Raw genomic sequence first — 25,343 nt, 5'->3', positions numbered from 1 at the left:
TGTCCCCCAAAAAGACATGCTGAAGTCCTAGCCCCAGGACCTAAGAATGTGACCTTATGTGAAAATAGGGTTGTTGGAGATGTAAGTAGTTAAGATGAGGACATAATGGAGAAGATTAGGCCCCTAAGCCAATATGACTAGTGTCTTTATACGAAGAGGGGAACTTGGATGCAGACACAGAGACATGCAGGAAGAATGCTATGTGATAGCAGAGGCAGAGATTGCAGTGAAGCAGCTGAAAGACAAAGAATGCCACAGATTGACAGCCACTACCAGAAGCTAGGAATGGTCAAGGAAGGATTCTGCTCAGAGTGTCTGAGGGACTATGCCCTGCTGGCAACTTGATTTTGGACTTCTAGTCTTCAGAACTGTGAGAGAATACATTACTGTTGTTCTAGGCCACCCAGTGTGTGATACTTTGTTAGGACAGCCCAAGGAAATTAATATAAATGCCCACCAAGCTTTTGATGCTTTCACCTTTGTAGCCCTCCCACGCCAAACCCCAATATCTCATTCCTTTGAATCTGGGATCTCAGAATTTCCCAAACTGAAAATCAGCTAATTTGAGAGTGAACATGAGGAGGATAAAAGGCAATCTAAATATGATAGTTGCTATCTTGCCAGGTAATGTAGCTTCTTTTGAACAACTCCTTTTGGTGAGAAGGTTTATTCATGTGTCACCTTATTTAATGAATCAACTCTGTTGTCAAGAACTTTGGACTGTTAGGAGAGAGGGCAGTGGCAGAGGGAGGCAAAGAAGGAAGTGTCTGAAAGCTGATAGGGTTGCTGCTAGTTATTGATCATGATTCCTCTAGCGTTATCCCTGAAAGTTCATATGATCCCTTCACAATGTTCTTTCCTGGCCCTCATTGTGGCTAAGTACAAGGATCTTGGTATGAGTCTGCAATGTCTTACATAGTTGTAGGGCCTGGGTCACGGTCTTTCTCTCCACTTCTCCCTCCAACACCATCTTCTCTATAGACAAAATATTCAGCACCTGGGCCTCACTTTCCCTTCATCTCCTTAACTTGAGCCCCCTCACTTCTACTCTGTAGTAGGAGTTGCTGGCCAGACCCATAGTCTTGACGTCATCATAATTCACAATCATTTCCAAGATATTAAATTTCAAAATAGCCCCTCCTCTGAATTCTCCAAATACTTTATTTTTTAAAATGCTATTCTTTCCTGACTGCTAGTCTTCCACCTATGTCCTAGAATCTTGGAGATCATCACCCTCCTCTGCATCCTTGCTTTCCTTACCTTTACTGACTCACGGCCAGTCCTCCCAAGAAGCTTCTATCTTTATCCATGGGGCCCTTGTATGGCCCTTGCTCCCTTAACTTTATACTGGCCCCTGCCTGTTTGACCACAACACTATTTTTCTGCCCCAGCTTTCAGGCAGTTGATTGTTTCTGGAGAAATTTGATCTATTATTTTCTACATAAACTTACGATTGTTCAACTAAAACTGGGTCTTCACACCCAGCATTCCTTTATATCATGACTTGATTCCCAGCCATGCTCCCAATGGTAACCAAAAAAAATTTCTAGGATTGTGCTTGAAGCCACAAAAGACAAGAGCACTTTGCCCCCTCTGTGGCCTTGTATACCTGACGATTTGATTTCAGCATCCTCAGTTTCCATATTTTTTAATGTTAAAGACTTGTTTTCCATTATATACCTGTGCCATAAATACATGCTGATTTGCTCACAGAGTGAAATGGGCTCTGCAAAAGTATGGATCCTTGTATTTTAATCCAGAGTTGTTTTGATAAACCCAGAAACGATGACGCTGAAATAAAGATGACTCGATGAATAGTGCTAAGAAATTAATTTTAAACACCATTTTTACCAAATTGCTCTTAAAAGTCTTGAAGGAAAATAAGGAAAAGAAAGAAAGGGCAAGGTAATCCTACATTACAGTTCCTCAGATTCTCCTGCTGCAATTATGCCCAGGACAGTTTGAACAGCCTCTGGCAGGAACCCACCACACAGACGGACACGGATTAGGAAATTAAAATCTGGGTTGCATAGGCACTCATATGTGACTTGGCACATCTTTTCCAAAACCCGCCTCCTTGGTAATTAAAAGAGCAGTGTTTATTTATCTATCTATTTATTTATCTTAATACAATACTGTTTTACAGAACTGGCAGCCAAAGACAGCACCTGGAATCTTACCTCATTTTCCCTGGGATCCCAGCCTCCACAGCTGTTCTAAATTTTTCTTAGAGTAAAAAACATTGGATAGTTCTCCCAGTGCTTTTTAAAAATCACTAAATACTTTCTCTCTCTCTCTCTCTCTGTGTCTGTCTCTGTCTCTTTCTACACACACACACACACACACACACACACACACACACACACACACACACACACACATCCCAGGCTGGGAATGCTGAGAGTTGGTATGCTGATGAGAAAACAAAACACTGGTTTTCTTTTTTTTCTTTCTTTGTATTTCAAATATTTTGAGAACAGGGAGTAAAACTTATATAATATCCAAAGTAACAGAACAGGACCAATGGGGAAAGAAGAGAAAATTTGAGAAAGAATCAATTAATTATAGAATAAAGTATACCATCACTAAAATTAAAAACTCATAGAATTTCAACAGCACATAAATTATGAGACGTTTTGCAAACTGGGGGAAAATATACCTAATTTTATTGGCCATGAAAATTATTTCTTCCAAGAATAGTGATATAGAAAATGTTTCTGTCTTTTTTAAATGCCTTGCCTGGTGTAGAACTACTTTCTTAATTCTTAATCTGGGCATTTCAGAAGGATATTTTGTCATTATGAGGCCAGGCATGAAAAATCCTAAGTCTGTTTAAGCCATTTTATAATGCCAAATATATACCTTAAGCCTAAACATCTTTTACTTTTAAGATATATTTTTACATTGGAGGATTTTGTTATTATCTACTTCATGTATGAATTGAATATTTGTTGGACTGTTAAATAATAATAGTTATCACTGATTAAGTATTTACTTATTCCAGGCTCTCTGTGAAGTATATTACATGCATTGATCATCTAATTCCCCGAGACTTTAAGGAGGTGTAATTAGCTTCTCCTTTAGTAGATGAAGAAACTGAGCCCCAGGCTAAATTTCCAAAAGTACGTAGACAGCAAGTGCTGAGATTTGAACCAATGTAGTTTATCTTTGGATCCATACTCTCAATGGTAACATGCTCCATGTGTACAAACTATCAGAGAATCAAACAATGAGTTTGGATTCAATAAGAAATTCTCAGTTTTGTCTATACAAGACCAAGCAACTGATTTAACCAAGATTTTTCCCCCGGTTGAATTGGTAGCTTTTTTTTTTTTTTTTTTTTGTAACCAACAGGATCCTGTATCTGCAATAGTTTCTCTCCTTCTAAATAATCTCTCTTTTTGCTTTCTTTTTTTAAATACTGTTTTAGAACAATCACCAACTTAATTTTTAAATTCTTTCCAGAATTCTTTGACATGCTTTGAGTTCTAATATATATATATATATATATGTCTAAAGTTTAAACCAACATCTGACTTGGGCTAGAACTTGAAGATGTAGAATTGCAGTTTTGAGCCTCTTAGCTCTGCAAATAATTGTTTTTCTGACCTGCTTTTATTAGTCGACTGGTTTTGACAGTATACTGCTGAGAGAGCAGAATCTGGGAGAAACTTAGCTCTGAATCATCAATGAAGATCTTTGATTGTTATCGGATTCCCCTAGTGCAGGTAGATCTATCTTCAGGTTAATTTTCAGTCTTTACCTTTGTGCTGACTTTTCCAAATGGTCTACAATTTACATGTCTTTTGTGTTTATGTGAATGCTTCCAGAGTACAGTCATCAGCATCCTGAACTTCCTAAATGCCTGTCGCAAGAAATTTTATGACTCCTACAACCTCTTAGGTGAAAAAGTTTTCAGAAAGATAAAAAAATTCAGCCAGATTCAGCTTCCAGGGCTCCCATTTCATCTGAAGCTTGTCTTTCTTTGAAAGTGGTTTGAATAATAGTTTATCTTATACTGTGGACTAAGGCTTAGATACCCAATACAAAATCTACCTTACACCTGTCAGAGGATGATTGTCAACAGGCCAGTATGTACTGGCTAAATAAATTAATATAGGAAGACCCTGATGCTTGACAAATATAGTGTGGGAAATACATATAGTGTATATGTATATATATATATACACACACACACACACACACAATATATATAGTATATATAGTATATCTATATTATATATATATAGTATATATATTTTACTAAGGCCTTATAGTCACTAAAAACTGAATTATGTTTTAATAGAGGTATAATACAGTAGTATTTGGTGACTTATTTTAAAAATAATGTAACTAAAAATTAGTCTTTACGGTATAATAATGATACTTCAAGACAAATGCTTTAGTTTTTCTACAAATATAAAGTAATACTCACCTGGATGTTTGCTATTTTTGGCTGATGTAATATTTCTCAATTATTAGTAAAATATCTTCCCATAAAATGTCATCATCTGTGTCACATATACCCTTATGCTTAGAAAGAGAAATTAGTGGTTAAACAAAAACAACTGACTTATTAAGAAAGGAGAAATTCCCTCAGAGAGAGTTTTAGGAAACATGGAAAGATTTTTAAGTCTAACATATTCGTGTACTTGCCTCCGTTTAGGCTTAACCGTAGCATACATTTTTGATAATGAGACATCCTTGCTGCAAAATAGAAAGAAGAGAGTGAGCCTGGGTGGAGAGAAGAAGATGGAGGATAAATAATTTACATACAAAATGTAGAGAAATTTCATAGCAGAAGTGGTTGTGTCCCAAAAATAACACCATTTGGAAAATTACATAAAAGGAAGCATAGCTTTTTCTAAGACATCTATTATGACAATAACAAAGAACTGGCTTTCTTATGTTTAAATAATTTTATTTTTTTCTATAGTATATATTTGTATCGTTTTCTTGGGCTAACATATCAAAGTACCACAGAAATTAATTTCAACAACAGAAATTAATTTTCCCACAATTCTGGAGGCTAGAAGCCTGAAATAGATAAAGGGTTAGCAGGGCTGGTTTCTCCTGAGACCTCTCTTCTAGGCTGGACAAGGCCATCTTTGGCCTATGCTTCCCTCTGTGTCCTGAACTCCTCTTCTTACAGGGACACCAGCCATATCAGATTAGGGCCCACCTTAATTACCCCTATTTAAACTTAATTACTTCTTCAAAGACCTTATCTTCAAATACAGTCACATTCAGAAGTACTGGAGTTACAACTTCATCATATAAATTTTGGGGATCATGATTCAGCCCATATTTAGATGTTTATGTTAATTTTGTATATCTGTTTTTATATGTAAAGATTCTCTGTCTTCCTCCTTTTTCCTGTAGATCTCAAGTTTCAGTAAACATGACATGTGAATTCTTCTGTTTCACAGAAAATGATCGTACATAAGGGCAGATGCTTGATCATAAGGAGAAATATTTGTTAGATTATAACTTCAGTTATATATTGGCTATCAAACATATTCTCGCTGATTTATTTTAAACATTTAATTGTTTTATGTGTTTAAACCAAATGTTCTACTCAATAAGGCTAGTCAGTCACATGTATTTCAGGATATTGGTAGTAGCTAGATTTTGTGTCCTAAAATAAGGTGCTTAATAAATTCATACTCAGTCATTTAAATAAAATTATGGCAAACACCTTCCAATTGTAGAAACAACTTTAATATAGTAAAAAATTAAGTAAAATGGTTATATATTTGGCATGTGTGTGTTTGTGTATGTGTGTGTAGGTGTATCTTTGTGTGACTATGAGAAGGTGTTTGGATTATTAGATTCTCAATGAAAAGTTAATTCACATATTTTTACATTATTTTAAAATTAATTTTATGTGTATTTTAAAAATCTTGATTTTTGAACAAATTTATTTTTCATATATTAAGAATGAAATTATGACATGTGATAGAAAACTTTTTAAACAGTATATAATCATTTAGAAAAAGTAAACTTCAATTCTATTCTTCTAAACATTTGCTGTCTTTTTTTTCTAATGCAACATTCACACATTTTACTCAATGCTACATTCAAACAACTTAAACTCCAAAAAATAATTTAAAAGTTGTGTTGTCCCCATTGCACATTTTACACAATCTAAAGAGCTAGCCTATTGCTTCCAGAAAACCCTAAGAAATTTCTGCACAAATCTTGCTATCCAAAATACCTCTTCTTTTCTGATTAATTTTTAGCTCTTCCATTAGAAAAAGTGTTTATAAAACATTAATGGGCAATTTAACTTCAGTTTCCAGAGAGAGATTTCTGCTGCATCAGATCTTATATTTGCAACTATACAGTATTCCCTCTCTCAATACTTGCACTTATTTCCCAGTAGGTCTCACCATCTGCTATTGATGCCTGTCAAAAGTAGGAAATACTTCCTCAAGCAATTCTTGTTCAAATATTACTCTTTCATACTACCACTTTCCCAGGTTACAAATTGTTCCCGTATATTTGTACCCCAAAGTCAAATTTGCAGATAACTATCTTCAAAGGTATTTAATGACCAAGTGCCTTTTAATCTATTGAACCCAAAAGCAAAAAGGAAGAGTATCAGAAGTTTCAAAACTCAAAAGAAGAAAGCTGCCCAGCATTTTACATATCATACGCAGGTTTTTCCTAAACAGCTCCCCGCCACAACATTTTTTTTCATAAAATCCTAAAGGAATTTGTACTGTTTCTATGCAGATGTATGCAATTCAATTTTTGTTAGTAATAGTGCTATATTGAATTGAAAAAAATCTCATTTGCAATTACCTTTAAATTATACTATATATTCTGAAGTTCCCAATATGGAACATGTATCATTCATATATATATATATATATATATATATATATTTCTCATTTTAACAACATGGGATTTTTCAGATGACCTTTATTTTTGTAGATGCAGAAAAGGAAAACCTACCGTTTCACAGACCACAAGAAAGGCTATAAGAAACTTAACTGATAACCTGTGTATATTTACACAGACAATGTGACAGATACCCAACTATATAAAGAATAATATAATTCTGTTTCATTATATGTAGAAAGCAAGTATGCATACACAGATGTGTATTTGCAGGTATAGTGTGAGAATCCATATAAATGTACATTATTATTTTTGGGAAAAAAACTTGAACAAATATATCAAACTTCACCAATTGATATAACCAAATACATACTTCACAAAGGATAAATTTGTTTCATTACTGGAAATATGGGAATAATACCAACCCCATGTGTATCAGGTATCAATTGCCACAATAATGCCTAGTAACAACCTCAAAAGCTCAGTGATAAGCAAAAATAAGTGCTGTTGTTCAGGTGTCTGGGATCAAATGGGAGCCTGTTAGGCTATTGGATCTCTTGATCTTGGCTGAGCTTGTTCACCTCTTTGGGGATCCACTGTTTCATTTTCTCCTTAAGAACTTGCAGATAGACTATTGGCCTATCTAAGCTGGCCTTCTCTCAGAGGACTGGGGTAACTGGACTCTGTTCCATGTTTCTTTTATCCTTCAGCAGGCTAGCTTGAGCAAGTTCTTATAACAGAAGAGCCAAAGAGAAGAGTTTTTGAAGCTGGGCAACTGGCATGGTCTTGCTCGGAGTCCAAGGGGACAGTCACTAGAAAGTTACAGTTTAGAGTTATTTGGCAAAGGGTTTTAGTGCAGGAAGTGTTGAGGAACTGATGTCATGTTTCCTTCTTTCTTTCCTTTCTTTCTTTCTTTGTAGAGTTTTTGTTGTTGTTGTTGTTGTTGTTAGAAACGGCCTTGCTCTGTTGCCCAAGCTGGAATGCAGTGGTGTGATCACAGCTCACTGCAGCTTTGACCTCTTGGACTCAAGCAATCCTCCTGCCTCAGGCTCATGGGTATCTAGGACCACAGCTAAGTGTCATCATACTTGGCTTTTTTTTTTTTTTTAGAGATAAAGCCTCACTGTTGTCCAAGGTGTTGAACTTCTGGGCTCAAAACGATCCCCTACTTCTGCCTCCCAAAGTGCTGGGATTATAGGTATGAGCCATTGCACCCAACCTCATTTTTCCATCTACCAAAATGTGAAAGAACTTTCAAGCAGCTCTTGAGAGCATTCCAGATAGGATAATCTTTAGGGATTTCATTTGTAGCAGAACTATAAACTTGAAACCATGTAAATAGAGAATTTCTAAAAGATAGTGCTAACGTGGTTATAAATCACACTATGTGGCAGAAACCAGTAGTTGCCTCCTAATACCCATTCTTCCCCTTTTTCCTTAGAAACAAAACCATAGGCAATTTGTTCAGCTAAAGGGACAAGTTACCTAGGCTCCCTTTTAGGTAGAAATAATCGATGAAATGTCATTGAAACTCTTAAAGGAATGTTAGGAAAACTTCCTAGGGAGTGGGTATGAGCCCTTTGTTCTTCTTTTCTTCTTTATTTTAGCCTTGCAATTCTAGGTCTGAATTTATTCTACCTGGAATAAATAGGTGAGTACCAGTAGGTATCTTGGATCGTTATGGAAAAGCAAAAGGTGAGAAAGACCCTGATTCCCTGATGAACATGGATCCACCAGGCCAGCTTTAGATGGAATGATACAGAATTTTCTAAATGTGAAAGAATATATACATTTATATTTTAACACTTACTTTAAGTTCTTTTCCCTCAAAATTGCATGCAATTTCTAACTGATAGGAAATGGAAATTTCATCACCCTCTGCCTCCAGATAAGTCTTCCCATTTTTCTCATAGATTCCCTCCAGTGTAATCCTAACAGAGCAAACAGAGTGAGCCTGTTAAAACATAAGTCAAATCATGTCATGTTTCTGCTCAAAACCTTGAAATGGCTTTGGTCTGCAATAACATATAGGGTCCCACATGTCTCGGTGACCCCCTTATTACTTCTCTTATGTCATTTGTATGACTTCGTCAATCACTATATTCCAATTATGCTGGCCTAGCTGATGTTTCTTGAATATGCCAAATATCCTCCCCACTTAGGGCTTTTGCTCTAGCTATTCCCCAGTCTTAGAATGGTCTTCTCCAAGATATCCGTTGACTTATTCCTTTGCCTCCTTCAAGTCTGCTTGAATGCCACCTTCCTTATTATGCTTATTCTAACCTTCAGGTTTATTTTAACCACTTTCTGTCATCTTTCCCTGGAATTTTCTTTCTCCCTCAAACCACCTCAATTTTTTTCATATCATTAATCACTTATATAGAGATTATTTTATAATTTATTGGTTTATCACTTTATTGTGTGACCCAATAAGTGACTCTAACCATAGATCAAGAAATACAAATACTAAACAAGGATCATGAAAGGCATTATCTAGGCAGAGCAATACAGCCAAAACCACTGAGGAGGTTTGAGACATCCACCGACTCATTTTCTCCTTAAGAACTTGCAGTAATGTCATACCATTTCTTCTTTAGTATACCTCTTTTAGAGTTTTTACGCAGCTTAGTTCTATTTATGTTTTTATAAAAACACACTGTTAAACATTAATACAAGTGTTAGAAAAGTATACCTTTCATTACTTAGAGAAAATAATCAAAGAAAACATAGTACATGTTGTCTAAGAAATATTAAAATAGTATAGAAATACAGAATAAAGCATTAAATATTATCAAAAATGTAAAATGATATATTATAATAAGTAAAAATTCGCAAAATTGTTTTATTAAAAGGAATCACTGGACTTCTGCTTCTAGGAAGATGAAGTCAATGTGATTTTCCCTATTCCTCTGCTAAGCACAACTAAAAACTCTGGAAATTATATGTAGAACAATTTTTCAAAATTTTTTTATTATTTACTTATGTATTTATTTATCTTTTGAGATGGAATCTCATTCTGTCACCCAGGCTGGAGTGCAGTGGTGCAATCTCAGGTCACTGCAGACTTTGCCTCCTGGGTTCAAGTGATTCTCTTGTCTTAGTCTCCCAAGTACCTGGGACTACAGGCACGTGCCACCATGTCCAGCTAATTTTTGTATTTTTAGTAGAGATGGGGTTTCATCATGTTGCTAAGGCTGGTCTTGAACTCCTGACCTCAATTGAGTCACTGCCTTGACCTCCCAAAGTGCTGAGATTATAGGCATGAACCACTGCACCCGGTTTGTAGAACTAATTTAAAGAGACCCTGAAATATAGTAAGAAGGCGGAATGGCTAGGAATGACGTAGTGATTAGTTTTCTGGGTCTTCTTTCTGCTCATATAATCCAAGCTTGGTGAAAGCCACTAATCCAGAAAAAAAGGTGGATGTAGATTTTTTTGGAAAAAAATAAAAAAGAAAACAGTTAATGTCTGCTCTTCCTAGCTAAAGTACAAGGCAAGGGGCAGTCTAGAAAGAAAACATTTTGTTCATAACTTCTCTGCCAGCTAAACACCATAGAGAAAACTGTGGCCAACTCATACCCACACCAGCAAAGGCCAAGTGAAAAGTCTAGACTTTCACACTCAGGAGGTAGTAATGAGGCACCCTGATACCCGAGCCAGGGTTGTATAAGAGAAGACCAAGTCAGCTTTCGGGAACTTCATTTCTGCTAACTGGGAATGAGGCCCCTATTATGGTGTCAGTATAGACTACATGTGGATCTTGAAGATCCACCCCCTGTGTAACAGTAAACAGATAGCCTTCTCCTCCCTGGGGGTCATATGGGAGGAGGCCTACTGGAGAGTAAGAACTTTCATTGTCATCCAGTGGTATGAGGTCATATCCACTGATGTCAGTAAAGATCACGTGGAAGCTGTAACTCACACATAAAACAATAATGAGGGGGATTCCCACTTGGGTGTCAATGGAGGGCGAGAAGCCTATACCTCTACTTCCACCTGGCTGTAAAGATGTAGCACCCCACCCTTTCCTTGCCAGAGAAGTAACAGAAAGTCAAGATAAGATCCAGAGACTCATAATATAGTATGAAAATGCTCCGGTTTCAGGAGATTATGTATCATACAAAGAAATGAGGAAGTTTCAAATTGAGTAAAAAGACAATTGATGCCAATAGCAAGATGATAGAAATTTAGAGTTATCTGACAAAGATTTTTAAACAGCCAAGATAAATATACATCAACAATCAACTGCGAGCATTCTTAAATGAAAAAATAGAAAGCCTGAACAAAGAAATAGAAAGTCTAAGCTAAGAGAGAGATCCAAATGGTTTAATGGATGGGCTTAAGAGCAGAATGAAGGTAATAGGGAAAAGAAATCAGTGAACTTGAAGATTAAACAGTAGATATCACCCAATCTCAACAAGAGAGAGAAAAAAATAGACCGAAAAAAAATTGAACAGCGACTCAGAAATCTGTGGAACTCTAACAAAAGATATGACATTTATGTCTTTAGAATTTCGTAGGAGAAAAAAAGTGCAGGGCTGAAAAAATAGAAGAAAAAAATAGTGGCTAAAAACTTCCTAAGTTTGACAAAAGCCATAAAGCTACATATTTAAGATATTGAATGAACCCAAAACAAGATAAACTTAAAGAAATTCACATCAAGAAACAGCTTAATGAAACTTTTGAAAAACCCAAAATAAAGAAAAACTTCTCAAAAGCACCAGGAGAAAAGAGATACTTTATCTAAGGAAGAAAAACAATTGGAATGACAGCAAATTTCTCATTCAAACCCATGGAGGCCAGAAGAAAGTGGCAAAACATTTTTAAACTACTGAAACAAAACAAAACAAAAAAAACTGTCACCCAGAATCCTATATCTAGTAAAATACATCCTTTGGGAATGAAGGGGAAATCAAGACACTCATAAATGAATAATAGTAAAATAGGTTGACATCCCAAAACATACCCTAAAAAATGGCAAAAGTAAATTTTCTAAGCAAAAGAAAACAATAAAGGATGGAATCTTGGAACTTTAGGAAGGAAAAGAAAAATTTGAGTAAATGCAATAGGCTTCCTTCTCTTGAGTTTCTAAATTATGTTTAACAGCTGAAACAAAAATTATAACAAGGCAGGGATATCCACTCTCACAGCTCTTATTCAGTATGTTGCTAGATGATCTAGCCACTGCAATAAAGCAAGATAAGGGGTAGAAAATGTATTCAGATCAAAAAGGAAGAGATGAAACTGTTCCTACTTGCACATGACATCTAGAAATTCCCAAGAAATCTCCAAAAATATCTTAGAACTAATAAGTGAGTTAAGCAACTTGTAAAGTAAACATACAAAACTCCGTTGCATTTATATATACTAGCAACAAATACAGGGACACTGAAATTAGAATATAATGCCATTTACAACAACTCAAAGAAAGAGATAAATACTTAAGAGCCATAAACCATTAAATGGAACATAGAAGGTACACACTTAAATGCTGAAGAGTTTAGTATAGTCTGAAATACAAATATAACCATGAATATCTATATAGATATAAAGTGGCGTTACATAAATTTTGTTTAACACTAATTCCAAGAGATTGCCACAAAAGAGGGCATGTGCTAGGTGAATAGGTGAACATCCAAGATAATTTGGGAAACTCTCAATATTATACCTCCGTCTTTTAAAATTGGTCCTCATATGAGCAAATCAGAGCTTTATAAAATTCTGTAGTAAAATCCCACTTTAATGCATTCCAGCATTTTTGACCTCAGAACGTTTTTTCCAATTAATTCTGAGAGCCCAGGTTAAGCTGTCCAAGACTGATCTGTTGAGGGCTGGCCTTTGAAAGAAGAATTTGTCCCAGAGTTGTTGTGATAATACAACTCACCAAAGGCAAGGCTTAGAATCCAGCCCTCTGTCTCCATCATGCCAGGCAGGATTGCTGACAACAATCACGAACAAATATGTGACTCCTGTCAATAGCTTGCCTCTCCCCACAACTGTGAACACACAGTTAGAATCCCAGGCATCTGATCAAGCCAGGGGAAAGGCTAGCCTCTTCCCCAAACCCAAATGCTGAGCTGGCAGGATGGCATCCAGGTAAGGTTCTTGCCTGGCTTGTTTCCATACACCAGCTCTTGATCATGCAAGGGGCAGGGCAAAACTTCCTTAATCAAATAATATAAGGACCCTGTTGCCTAAGGTTGGCTCTGACCCATATATATTTCTGGTGCTAACCTAGAATATACTGGGCAAAGGGGGCCTAAATGCTGCTTCTCCTTTGTCTCCCTGCGTTTCTTGCAAAAAACCCTGCTCCAGTAGGTCTGGCCCCTTCCTCTGATGTGTGCTTTTAAAATTTCAGCTCAGATTTACAGATGGGCAAGTTCTTTAAATTTTTCAAGAAAAATTTTTGAGTATAAAAGTTTTTGTAGAATAGAAAAATACGTAAACCTTCTTAATTCATTTTACAAAATAAGACTTTTTGTTTATCATCCCCAACAGACATTTACCCTCACTATCCCCAATCTAGGAATTCACTTAGCAAACTCCTCCACTTCATTCTCATGAATCACTTACTCGTTTCCTAAGTTACTTTCCCTAAGGAAAGTTTCCGATCTCTGGTAGAGGTTTTTATTTTATTTTCCTCTCCATATTATTTATTCCTTTTGTGCCCTACTCTGTTTCAACTGATGATTCATTGCTATTCTTGGACCTAGCCCTTCCTGACTAAATATTGGTTTAATAAATGAATGTGTAAATGTGCAAAGTTAACTTTATCAATACTCTCTTAGATCCAAGACATCACAGCTTCCACATGTACCTAATGTATCAAGAAATTAAACCTGCATATAAGGAAGTTTGAATTCAGGGAAAATGACAATAATTAATCAAAACCAAACAAAATGCAAAAGTGATCATTTATTTTAAAATGTATATTTACAAATACATTTGAAATATAAGTGCTTTCTAAAAAGATTATTTTCAAGTTGTCAGCAAGTTCTAGGAATCATATTCTTAAACTCTAAGGCCAGCTTCCTGGTGACCAAGATAGTCACTTGGAATCCAAAGTACACTCTGTCTTTGGTCTGGCTGGGATTTATTTTTACGTGCCTATGGCAAATGCTGAAGTATATGTTCTTTGAGTCACTTAAATTCCCTTAGGAAAGAGTTAACCCAAACAAACCCTTTCAGCAAAAGAAATTCCAATACATTTTTAAAACAATTGTTTAACTCGATAATCAAAAAGTTGTTTAAACCCTAATCTAAATCCTTTCCCCTATTACTGCTGTCATTCTATCAGTATAAAGAAAGGCACATGGTAAGTTGGCATAACCAGAATGTATAAATTCTAGGACATATTATAAAACTAAGTAACAGAGAGAGTCCAAGGGCACAATGCTATCACTAAGGAACCTATCCGTTTCTTCACAGTCATCATCAGTGAAAAGTGATGCAAGTAGGTTGACTTTGGAAGAACTTAAATTCTTGAGGCAATCACTCATCAAAGCTTTCTGCTCAACAAGTGATACAATCAAAACATATTTATGAGACAAAGCTTGCCCTGTTTCCTAAGCGTGGGGGTAAATCCTTCAGCCCAAGAGAAGAATTTATCAATTCATCTCCGACTTGCCAGAATACTGCCTTGAAGTCTCTATGCCCAGAACCTGCCTTGAGAAGTTCCAAACCTACCCTGAGTCAACCCAAGTACTTAATCTGCTCTGTGTTCCTTCTTCAAACATTCATTTTAATAATCCCAGCCATTTCAGAGCTGCTATACTGGTGGCCCACCATGATAACAGGACTGGGGTATTCTTTTTATGGCACTTGCTTCCCCAAAACACATATGTGAAGTATATACACTATTGGCAACATATTTTCAAAAAATAGTATAAAACAGCAGCTTTTATTTTATGACCTGGAAAATTATTAATAAGGTAGAATATAACCATGTAGTAGATGAAAAATAAGTCAATAAAACACACACTTTAGAGGTTTATACATAAATGTTTTAATTTTCTATAATAAGGAAGAAGATTTAGCAAAAATGTCCTGAGAAGAAATACTTTGACCTTACACTCAAATTATAGATTGTGAAAGTTTTTTCCCATCACAAGTAGTATAGTGGAGCTAGACATTAAGGAGACCTCCGGATATGCCCTTGAAAGGGCTTGGTTGACAAACACGAATATTAAAACTGACTCCATGCATAACAAGTTTCTCAGAAGTAACTGGTCACTGTAGTCGAGTCAAGCCAGTTTTAGAGATATTCTAAGTTTTCCTTCACTTAGAAATGGTGTTTTTTTCCCACAAAAGTGTACATGTTAACTTGGAAATACAGCAAAATGATTTTAATCTAATGAATTATGCCTTTCTTGAAAGTATCATTAGAACCTTGAACAATTATTTACTCTTTTGAACCTAAAATTTGAAACTTGTTTGCTCTTATTTTAAAAAGATGGTCATTTCAAATTTAGGTCATTTACAGAGAAAATATTGCTTTTTTTGTCTTACTTTTTATTGTCTTTTATTATTTTAATAGACTATTTCAAGTAGTCTTATTTACTTTTAAAAATACTTATTTCTAATAGTTGTACATTCAAGCTCACTTTTGAAAGAGGGTTCTGGGAATTTGGGGCTGGCTACATGTAAACAGTTGCTTAGGTGCCTACAAAATAATTATGCATCTAATAAGGTTTTAGTTTTAGTGATTTGACACATATTCAATGTAGTTGAGGTAAAGATGTACATGTTCTCCTAAGTAACCAAATGCATTGAACCTCCAGTGCATGCTCCAAAGTAAATTAGTAACATAAATTTTGGGCTTCTAGCCCCCACTGAATGCATTTAGAAATGTATGCTTATGAATGACATCTACATGATATATCAATATAGATTGTATCAATACATTATATAGATATGAGATAAATGTAGATATACGTATGTATGTATATATATGTATGTATTTATATATCTATATAAATCCTCACTTAACATTTCGGTAGGTTCTTAGAAACTGCGACTTGAAGCAAAATGGTGTTGATGTTGATTAGAAATCAGAGTTTTTTTCTCATCAATGTTATAACAAAATGACACGCATGAAAACATTATTCAAGCACCTGATGTACATCATTTTGTTTAAAGTTGCTGTTTCCAAGAATCTGTCAATGACATTAAGATCAATGACATTAAGTGAAGACTTACTGTGTGTATATGTATGTATATATAAATATGTGTGTGTGTATATATATATGTATATATACAGAGAGAGAGACACAGAGAGAGAGAGAGACTGAGAAATAGAGAGTTTCCAGTTATCTACTGTGCATAACAAACCATACCAAAACTTAGGGGCATAAAACTATACCTATCTTATCATGCTCATGATTTTGTGAGTCAGGAATTGGGGCAGACACCACAGGAGTGATTTCTCCTGTAGATGACCCCACTCATCTACTTCTAGATGAGTGGGGTCTCAGATGGAGAGAAACATATATATAGCTGGGTTGGTTGTGTCATAATAAAAATCACGGCCAGGCGCAGTGGCTCACGCCTGTAATCCCAGCACTTTGGGAGGCTGAGGCAGGTGGATCATGAGGTCAGGAGATCGAGACCATCCTGGCCAACACGGTAAAACCCCGTCTCTACTAAAAACACAAAAAAAATTAGCCGGGCCTGGTGGCGGGTGCCTGTAGTCCCAGCTACTCAGGAGTCTGAGGCAGGAGAATGGTGTGAAGCTGGGAGGTGGAGCTTGCAGTGAGCCAAAATCGTGCCACTGCGCTCCAGCATGGGCGGCAGAGCAAGACTCCATCTCAAAAATAAATAAATAAATAAAAATAAAAATAAAAATCACACCACATAGAGTTAATATGGCAAGAAAGACTTTGTTCAAGATTATTGCAATAGGGGAGAGAGATTTAACTCAACTCCATGGAAACAAAAAAGTCAGAGAGTTTAAGTGCTTGGATAAGCTAGTGTAAAAAGTATTGGAGGACATTAGAGTGGAGGTTGATCAATGTGATTAGGCCATCTGTATTTGCTAAGTTAGGCTCCTGCCCTGTGATAGAAAGTAGGAGATGGGAGCTATCTTTCTTGATGATTCAATTTTTTAAAAATGGCTTCTGCCAGGCCTTGAGAAAGGCATTCCTGGGTTGTAAAACCAGCAAGAGGCTGGAAGATTTACATCTCAAAAGGGCAGACAGTCAACAATTGCAAGCAATTTAAAGTAAATGTTCTAAGAAAGGAGCCAGTGGCTGTATAGTTAGAAAGAAAGCTGTCTAAAGTTTTGTCAAGCTGAGGAGATCTGTAAGGGCATCTGGTCAGTTGTCATGGTTTGGCTAGATTATATGTCTCGGGTCTACAGGATATCAGTTGCTTTCCTTAGTGGTTCTCCACATCCTGCCTGCTGGCCTGGCATGTCCAAGATGCCTTCTTTACTTACTTTTCTGTTTCCTGGCCTGGGATAGCTGAACAGTAGAGATGTTTGGGTTTCTCTGTCTCCTCACAGATGTTCCATGTGGATGTCTTCAGCTTCCTTATAACAGGGTAATCTAAAAATGTTAGCCTTGCAAAGATCAAGCGTTCCAAGAATCATGGGCAAAAATTGCGAGGCTTAATAGGACAGCATCTGAAGTCCCAAAATGTCACTTCCACCACATTTTACTGCTCAAGTCACTAAATGTCTTAGTGTTTCTATAAAGGAATAACTGAGGCTGGATAATTTATAAGAAAAATAAACTAATTTGGCTTAGAGTTCTACAGACTGTACAAGAAGCAAGGCACCAGCATGGGCTTCAGACTGCATATACTCATGACAGAAGGAGAAGGGCTATTAAACCTGTGCAGAAATCACCTGATAGGAGAGGAAGCAAGAGAGAGATGGGGGAGATGCCAGGCTCTTTTAAAAAACCTACTGTCATGGAAACTAATAGAGCAAGAACTCTCATATTGCTATGAGGATCAGCACCAAGTCATTTGTGAGGGATCCTACCCCATGACATGCCTTCCATTAGGTCACACCTCCAACACCAGGGATCATATTTCAACATGAGGTTTGTAGGGGACAAAAATTCATACTGTTCCCAGACCAAACTGAGGATCGGGCTGCTGTTTCTTGTGGTCCAATAACGTGATGCAGATGAACTGGGGAGGAAGAGAGTTTTAATTTCTGTAACCAGTTACAGGGAGAAGGCCTGGAAATTGTCACCAGACCAACTCAAAATTACAAAGTTTTCCAGAGCTTATATATCTTTTAAGCTATATGTCTGTGTGCAAGTATGCATTCATCTAAAGACATTGGTGATTAACTTCTTTTAATCTATATCTAAGGTCTGAGCCCTGAAGATCTTCTGCTGGAGCCTCAGTAAGTTTATTTCATCTAAATGGGTCTAGGTGCTGGGATGATTACCCTTTGTCTCCTGCTAAATCATAAAGGTTTGGGAGTTTCTTTACACCCCAGTAAACTTGTCTGTGGAGGCCTGGGGAGTTTCTTCAGACCCCCAGTAAAACTTGTTTAATCCTAAATGGGCTCTGTTAAGAATTCCTTCATTATATTGTCATGCTTCAAGGCCCAGGAAAAGCCTAGACAAAACTCTCTGTGGGCTCTTTGTTACATTCCAGCCATTGTATAGGGCACTGGCTTAATCAGCTTTTAACGTTTAACCTAGCTACTCAGTCAGTGCTGGGACAGTTGTAATGGAGGCTTGCGTTAGTGAGACATGGCTTGCCACAATACTATAGCACTAAGTTGGTTTAAATTCAAGGGGAGGAGTATTATACTCCACTTCTCAGTAGGAGGAATAGAAAGGAATCCGTGGCCATATTTAATATACCACCACTATGTATGCAGAGCAACATAGCTATACTTGCATAGTTTGTTTTTTGTTGTAGGTTATATGATGTAAGTACAGAACCTGCGCATTCCATACAAGCATAGAATCAGGTAAAAAGCATAACTGAAAATGAAATACACTTCAGAGGTGACAAATCAACACATGCTGAGTGGGGCATTAATGGACCCGGATCCTAGTCAGGGTTAGTTACAATTAGCTGTCTGACCTTAGGTAAATCAGTTAATCTTGAAGACTACTTCCTAGTCTAAAATTCAGTTACTTCAATTACCTCTATTGCCTTGATTTGTCTGATTAAGCATGCACTGAGAACACATATAAAAGGCCAAGTGACCATCATCATTAATTCACCATTAAACTTTTGATCATGATAATGCAGGTACTCTGAAACCCTAGGAAGAAAAACAACATATCAAGGATAAATGTGGTTAGGATAAATAGTGGTAGAAAATACATTTCTTCTTAATGAATCTGTTCCAGATTATTTTCTTCTGTATGGTCCTGCTCCTCTGCACGATGCAGAGGTTTCTGTTTAGTTTTGACTCTATCAGACTCCCAGGTAGAGCATTCTCACCTTTGTAGAAGTAGGAGTCATCTCATTGATTGTCTTGAGTAAAAGGAAATGGCTCATGCATCTTTTCTACATTATAACAAATGTCCTTTTGCATTATAATTGAATGGTGATTGTTGTGTTCAATCAATGGGAAAGGTTAAAGGAGCTCCTCTGCCAGCATTTTTAATGGAGAAGTCGATTAAGATTCAGTTTAATCATTCTGGCTGCCTCAGAATTAAAGCAACAAAGACCATCAATGGCACTATAATTACTAGTCTTTCTGTAAGTTTACACTGCTATTTATGCAGCTATAAATTTTATTATAATGCACAATGCATCTAGGTTAACTTGCTTTATTTGCAATGTAAAATATTTGCTTTAATTGTATGAAGAAAAAAATTGTTCTGATAAAGTATATATAATTCAGCTGAATAATTTTTTTAAAAGTCTGAGAGTCTAAGTGAATCAGTATGATACTCTGTGTTAAATAGTTTAAAGTCATGGCCTTAACCTTGGGACACTTGAGACATATTTCAGTTTATTGAACATGGAGACTAACATCTCTCCCAGGTGACTTTAAAGGGTCAAATGTATTATTCTAATCCCTGTTCCAAACAGAGAAAAGGTCATTATACAGTACCTACTGCATGTTGTAAAGAATGAAAAATTCACACTGGGGGCGTGGGTGCAAATCTATTTTAGACTTGGCCTTTAAAATGTTTTTTAAATTGAATGATTAAGTGGTGATGAACCAGAAAAAATACCTTGAAATTGATCCCATTTATTAATTAGTTTGCACATGTAAAGGTCTTTCTATAAATAGTCAGAAGACTAGAGAAAATTGTTCTTCTTGAATGGAGAAATGACTTTCAAACTAACCTTTTTTTCACTATAGAAATAATGCTTATAAATGCACTTATTACCATCCAATACTCTGCTTCTTCCAATATACATATAGAGTCCTATAAAGGGGTTTGTGTCTTAAAAGTTTATACTTGGTCTACGTTAACAAGCCAACTGTAGAGAACAACTCCATAGAGAGGAATGGATTGAAGAAACATACAGAATGTGTACTATTGTCTTGAAAATATAGCTTTGCAGTGAACATTGTAGAAGTGTTTGGAAAAGCAATGCTTTAGAGAATTTGAGATATCGGGAATTCAATTAAAGAGCCTGAAGAGCAAACAGGTGAGGAAATTTGTGAGGTAAGATGAAGCATTGTTTATGATTTAGTTCATGTTGGAGTAAAAAGCCTATTGAAAGAGAAAGCATAAAAAGAAAAATATGAAGCTATCATTCTCTAGGAAAAAAAAATTCAAACTTTTCCAGTACCCAGAACTTCCAGAACTTTCTTATAACAAAAAGGAAAAATAAAATTTTTAGTGCTAGAAGAGGATCCTCATTCTCAGCACCTTCATTTTATCATTTTATAGTTTAAAAAGCTGAGAGCCTGTGAAATGCACTCATTTTCTCACACTCACAAATCTAACTGGTAGAGATGTAGGTCTGGAAACCATGTTTCTGTCATTCTAGCTTCTCTGCATTTTCACACTTGTTGGGGCTAAACTACATTCTAGAGTTTGTGTTTGACTTCCATATGCACCGAATTCTAAATGTACATTTATTTTGCCTGGGTATATGATCAATCATTAGTGCCTTTACAAGATAAATATCTTCTGCCCTTAATTTCTTTAGAGGAAACCAAAGGCAGGAAATTAATACTTTTTGATCTATAAGCTAATGAATGTGTGTGACACATTGGAAACTTTAATGTTCTTAGTAGCCTTATCCAGTAGGGATGATGAACTCAGTTTTTAATATAGAAACAAGCTTAGAGGGGTAAATAACTTGCCCAAGTTCATAAATTGTATAGTTGCAAGGCCAGGGTTTTTCTGACTTGAAACCCACGCTGTTTCCACGACAATGTGGTGCATCCTTGGAAACAGTGGTTGCAACATCTTCAGGTTTAGACAATAAAGTATTCATACTACACCTTTGATTGCCAGAGAAATCTATATCAATTGATTTTTTTAAATTATGCATGCATTTTTATAAGTTCTTTCTCTCATTTGTGAACTTAACAATGCATTTCAGTTTTACTAATAAAGTGCTATTTTTTAGTTGAAATTATGAAAATTGAATTTTATTGTATAGTGTATTAGGAAAGATAGATAATTAGAATCTTGGGAAAGCTTTTATAATAACAGATTCTTTGGAGGCATATAAAAATTTTCTATTACATATAAATAGTTTATTTTCGATACCTAAGTGATATTACAAATTATCAAAATTCTACTAAAATACTTTAGAAATTATACATAATATATTATAAATAATCTTCACCATGTAGTGGATTTTAACTTTGTTTAAAAATAAGTCTATAAATGCAATGCTCATGAAGACCAAAAACATTGAAAAGTAAAAATATTTGGCTTATAAAAACCAAAAACAATGTATCATTAAACCTATGCTAATTCAAGTTTCCATTTGATGCAAAATTCAGAATTCGTTTTAAAATTGTAAAGCAGGCCTGTTACTTTGTTAAAACTAAATGCATTTACTTGTAGCTAAATAAAATGTAAGCTATCAAATAGTGAGAATTTAATAGAACCTCTCTCAATTAGGGTATTCCAGTGTATAAGTACAGAATTAAGCTTAATAAAACAAAAGAAGTATTCCTTCTTTTGTATAATATTTTACAATGGCTTATTTACTATCTATAGGTGGAAGGGAATAGAATTCCAATAGGGATAAATTTCCTATTATTATTTGTTGATCGATTGGCCTTTTTACTGTTCTGGATCAAATAGTACAGGTCCCTTATGAAACACCTTCAGTCCCAATGTGAGTCTTGGGCACATTTCATAAAAATATTGCAGGCCGAATAGTCATATTGCCCTTTGGCACCATGTACCATCTATAGTATGTTAGATGCTGTAACAAACAAATCCCACTGAAGTGACTTAACACAATAAATGTTTATTCTTTGCCCATATGAGCATCATTCCATAACAACACTCAAAGATGTGTGGTGACATCAGCCTGAGCCAGAGCACCTCAGGGCCAACTCAGGACATTTGTTAATTGGAAACAATCTAGATTAACAGATATTTGTGTTTTTTTTTTCTTAATGTTAAATTTTACTTTAATTGCCCAATTCATAAATATCTCTTCCTTGAAGTCACATGAAAGAATAATCAAAGGTTATTGAAAAACCCCTTTCCAGCAAAATGGCCACAGGTAGCCACATTTTAATCAAAATTCTCCACAAACATAGTCATTAGAAAGGCAAAGGAAGTAAATTAGTATCGATAATTCCTTGACATTTGGTGCAAGGTGCTGAACAGTGAACATGTCAAGGGTATTTTATAACTTGAATTTGTGTTGCTTTTGGTCAAAAACTCTTGGAATTGCTTCTTTTCATCTCAAAGCAGAGCATGAAATTTCAGGCTGGCATGAATAAATAGCATCTCCCAAAAGGCCTAATGAAGAGATGACCCTCAGATTACTACATAAGCAGCCAAGCACTCTGAGACTATAAAAATTAAACTTTATTATTATTGATTAAATTTTAAGCTCCTAAAACTTAATAAGGATAATCAAAATAATTTGAAATCTATCTCAAATTATCGAGGAATAGTCTTTAGTGACTTCAGTCCTCCAGTTAGAACATTTTTTTATTTTATTTTATTATTATTATACTTTTAGAGTACATGTGCACAATGTGCAGGTTAGTTACATATGTATACATGTTCCATGCTGGTGTGCTGCACCCATTAACTCATCGTTTAGCATTAGGTATATCTCCTAAAGCTATCCCTCCCCCCTCCCCCCACCCCACAACAGTCCCCAGAATGTGATGTTCCCCTTCCTATGTCCATGTGTTCTCATTGTTCAATTCCCAACTATGAGTGAGAACATGCAGTGTTTGGTTTTTTGTCCTTGCGATAGTTTACTGAGGATGATGATTTCCAATTTCATCCATGTCCCTACAAAGGACATGAACTCATCATTTTTTATGGCTGCATAGTAGTCCATGGTGTATATGTGACACATTTTCTTAATCCAGTCTATCATTGTTGGTTGGATATCATTGGGTTGGTTCCAAGTCTTTGCTATTGTGAATAGTGCCGCAATTACGTGTGCATGTGTCTTTATAGCAGCATGATTTATAGTCCTTTGAGTATATACCCAGTAATGGGATGGCTGGGTCAAGTGGTATTTCTAGTTCTAGATCCCTGAGGAATCGCCACACTGACTTCCACAATGGTTGAACTAGTTTACAGTCCCACCAACAGTGTAAAAGTGTTCCTATTTCTCCACATCCTCTCCAGCACCTGTTGTTTCCTGACTTTTTAATGATTGCCATTCTAACTGGTGTGAGATGGTATCTCATTGTGGTTTTGATTTGCATTTCTCTGATGGCCAGTGAAGGTGAGCATTTTTTCATGTGTTTTTTGGCTGCATAAATATCTTCTTTTGAGAAGTGTCTGTTCATATCCTTTGCCCACTTTTTGATGGGGTTGTTTGTTTTTTTCTTGTAAATTTGTTTTGAGTTCATTGTAGATTCTGGATATTAGCCCTTTGTCAGATGGGTAGGTTGCGAAAACTTTCTCCCATTTTGTAGAAGACATTTGTTAATTGGAAACAATCTAGATCAACAGATATTTGAAACATCCAATCCATCCGGTCAAAATGTAAATGGCACAAATATTCTCTACAGTTATTTAGGATATTGGCAAGAACACTTACAAAATACCCAGTTTTTAGTAAACTTTGTCCACCATGTCTACATGTTGGATTTTCTTCTACAGGAAAAAGAGAAGTATCAAGTTTTAGGGATTCACAAAATCAGATCTGTATTTAGAGGGATAATTCCAGTGGCATTGTAAAGATTAGTTTATTGAAAGGAGTTACCCAAATCAGGGAGAGAATTTTTGAAGTTATTGTCAGAGCAAGGTGAGGATTGGAAAGCAACAGAGTTGGAAAAGAGGAAGACAGTGGGGAAGTAGGCGGATGTGTATAGAAAGAAGCTGGCTGGCCATTAACCAATTGGATAATAGGGGTTAGGGAGACAGACATGACTCTAAGCATTCTAACTTGGAGAAATTAGTGAATAGTACTATAACTTCAGTGAATAGTGAGGATTTACTATATTGTTCATCCCTTTGTTCCTAATATTATTTGAACATATTAGCTGTATTCAAAGAAATTCTCCATTTCCCTTTTTTGTTTTGTTTTGTTTTTTGAGACAGGGTCTTGCTTTGTCACCTAGGCTGGAGTACAGTGGTGTGCTCTCAGCTCGCTGCAACCTCTGCCTCCTGGGCTCAAGGAATTCTCCTGTCTCATCCTCCTGAGTAGCTGGAACTACAAGCATGCACCACCAAATTCTCCATTTTCATAAAATGTCAAAGAAAGCCATTATCTCTTGTCACCTAGATTTAGGAAAATGGTAACCAAGTTAATTAGAAATAACTATCTAGTAAAGCTTATACTTTTAGGTTTATCCAATAGACTAGTTATGCTTTGACCTTTAACTTCAAATTCAATCTACCGGACTCTAATTAATGATAACCATACTGAAGAGTTTAGGGTGATATATCCTACATCTGCAACATATTTGAAATGGATAAAAAACAAAATGGATTGACAGACATATGGTAAAGCAAACATGGCAAAATAATATATATTTATTGAATTTAGGAAGTAGTTATATGAGTGCTTAATATGACTTTTGTTTTAAAATACTTATGATATTTTATTGGGGGAAAATCACTCTATGAAGCTTTTATCTGTCTTGCTCTGTTTCTAGCCTCACCACTTTCTGGGAATTGATGTATTTCCCTCCAAACACAAGGGAGGATATGCTCCCTTGGCTAAGTCAATCATGATACCCCATCTACCTGGCCAGAGTTATTGGTCTTTGAGTATTTACATGATCTACCACAAGCCAATGATAGTCCTTTTGAAACATGTCTCTCCTGGAGGTTCTGGGGGGATATCTGTCACCTCACAGAGAAGGTTCAAGGTTATGAGCTTTTAAGCAGGATATTCCCAGGTTTCAGGGAGAAGCTTAAGAGGGTAAATCCAACAGACAAAGC

At 35.9% G+C, this 25,343-nt stretch overlaps 2 annotated features.

The window, feature by feature from the left end:
* Positions 16,789–17,339: an enhancer, noted in NCBI's record as "OCT4-NANOG hESC enhancer chr13:72696928-72697478 (GRCh37/hg19 assembly coordinates)". NCBI's record gives its function as "activates a minimal SCP1, AML or CMV promoter by ChIP-STARR-seq in primed H9 embryonic stem cells {active_cell/tissue: H9 hESC(primed)}" and the evidence as "EXISTENCE:reporter gene assay evidence [ECO:0000049][PMID:30033119]".
* Positions 18,804–19,667: an enhancer, noted in NCBI's record as "OCT4-NANOG hESC enhancer chr13:72694600-72695463 (GRCh37/hg19 assembly coordinates)". NCBI's record gives its function as "activates a minimal SCP1, AML or CMV promoter by ChIP-STARR-seq in naive H9 embryonic stem cells {active_cell/tissue: H9 hESC(naive)}" and the evidence as "EXISTENCE:reporter gene assay evidence [ECO:0000049][PMID:30033119]".

The sequence above is a fragment of the Homo sapiens genome, chromosome 13, assembly GCF_000001405.40.
Source record: "Homo sapiens chromosome 13, GRCh38.p14 Primary Assembly".
Taxonomy (NCBI): domain Eukaryota; kingdom Metazoa; phylum Chordata; class Mammalia; order Primates; family Hominidae; genus Homo; species Homo sapiens.
Note: the sequence above shows the minus strand (reverse complement) of the source record. Positions and strands in the feature narration are given on the sequence as shown.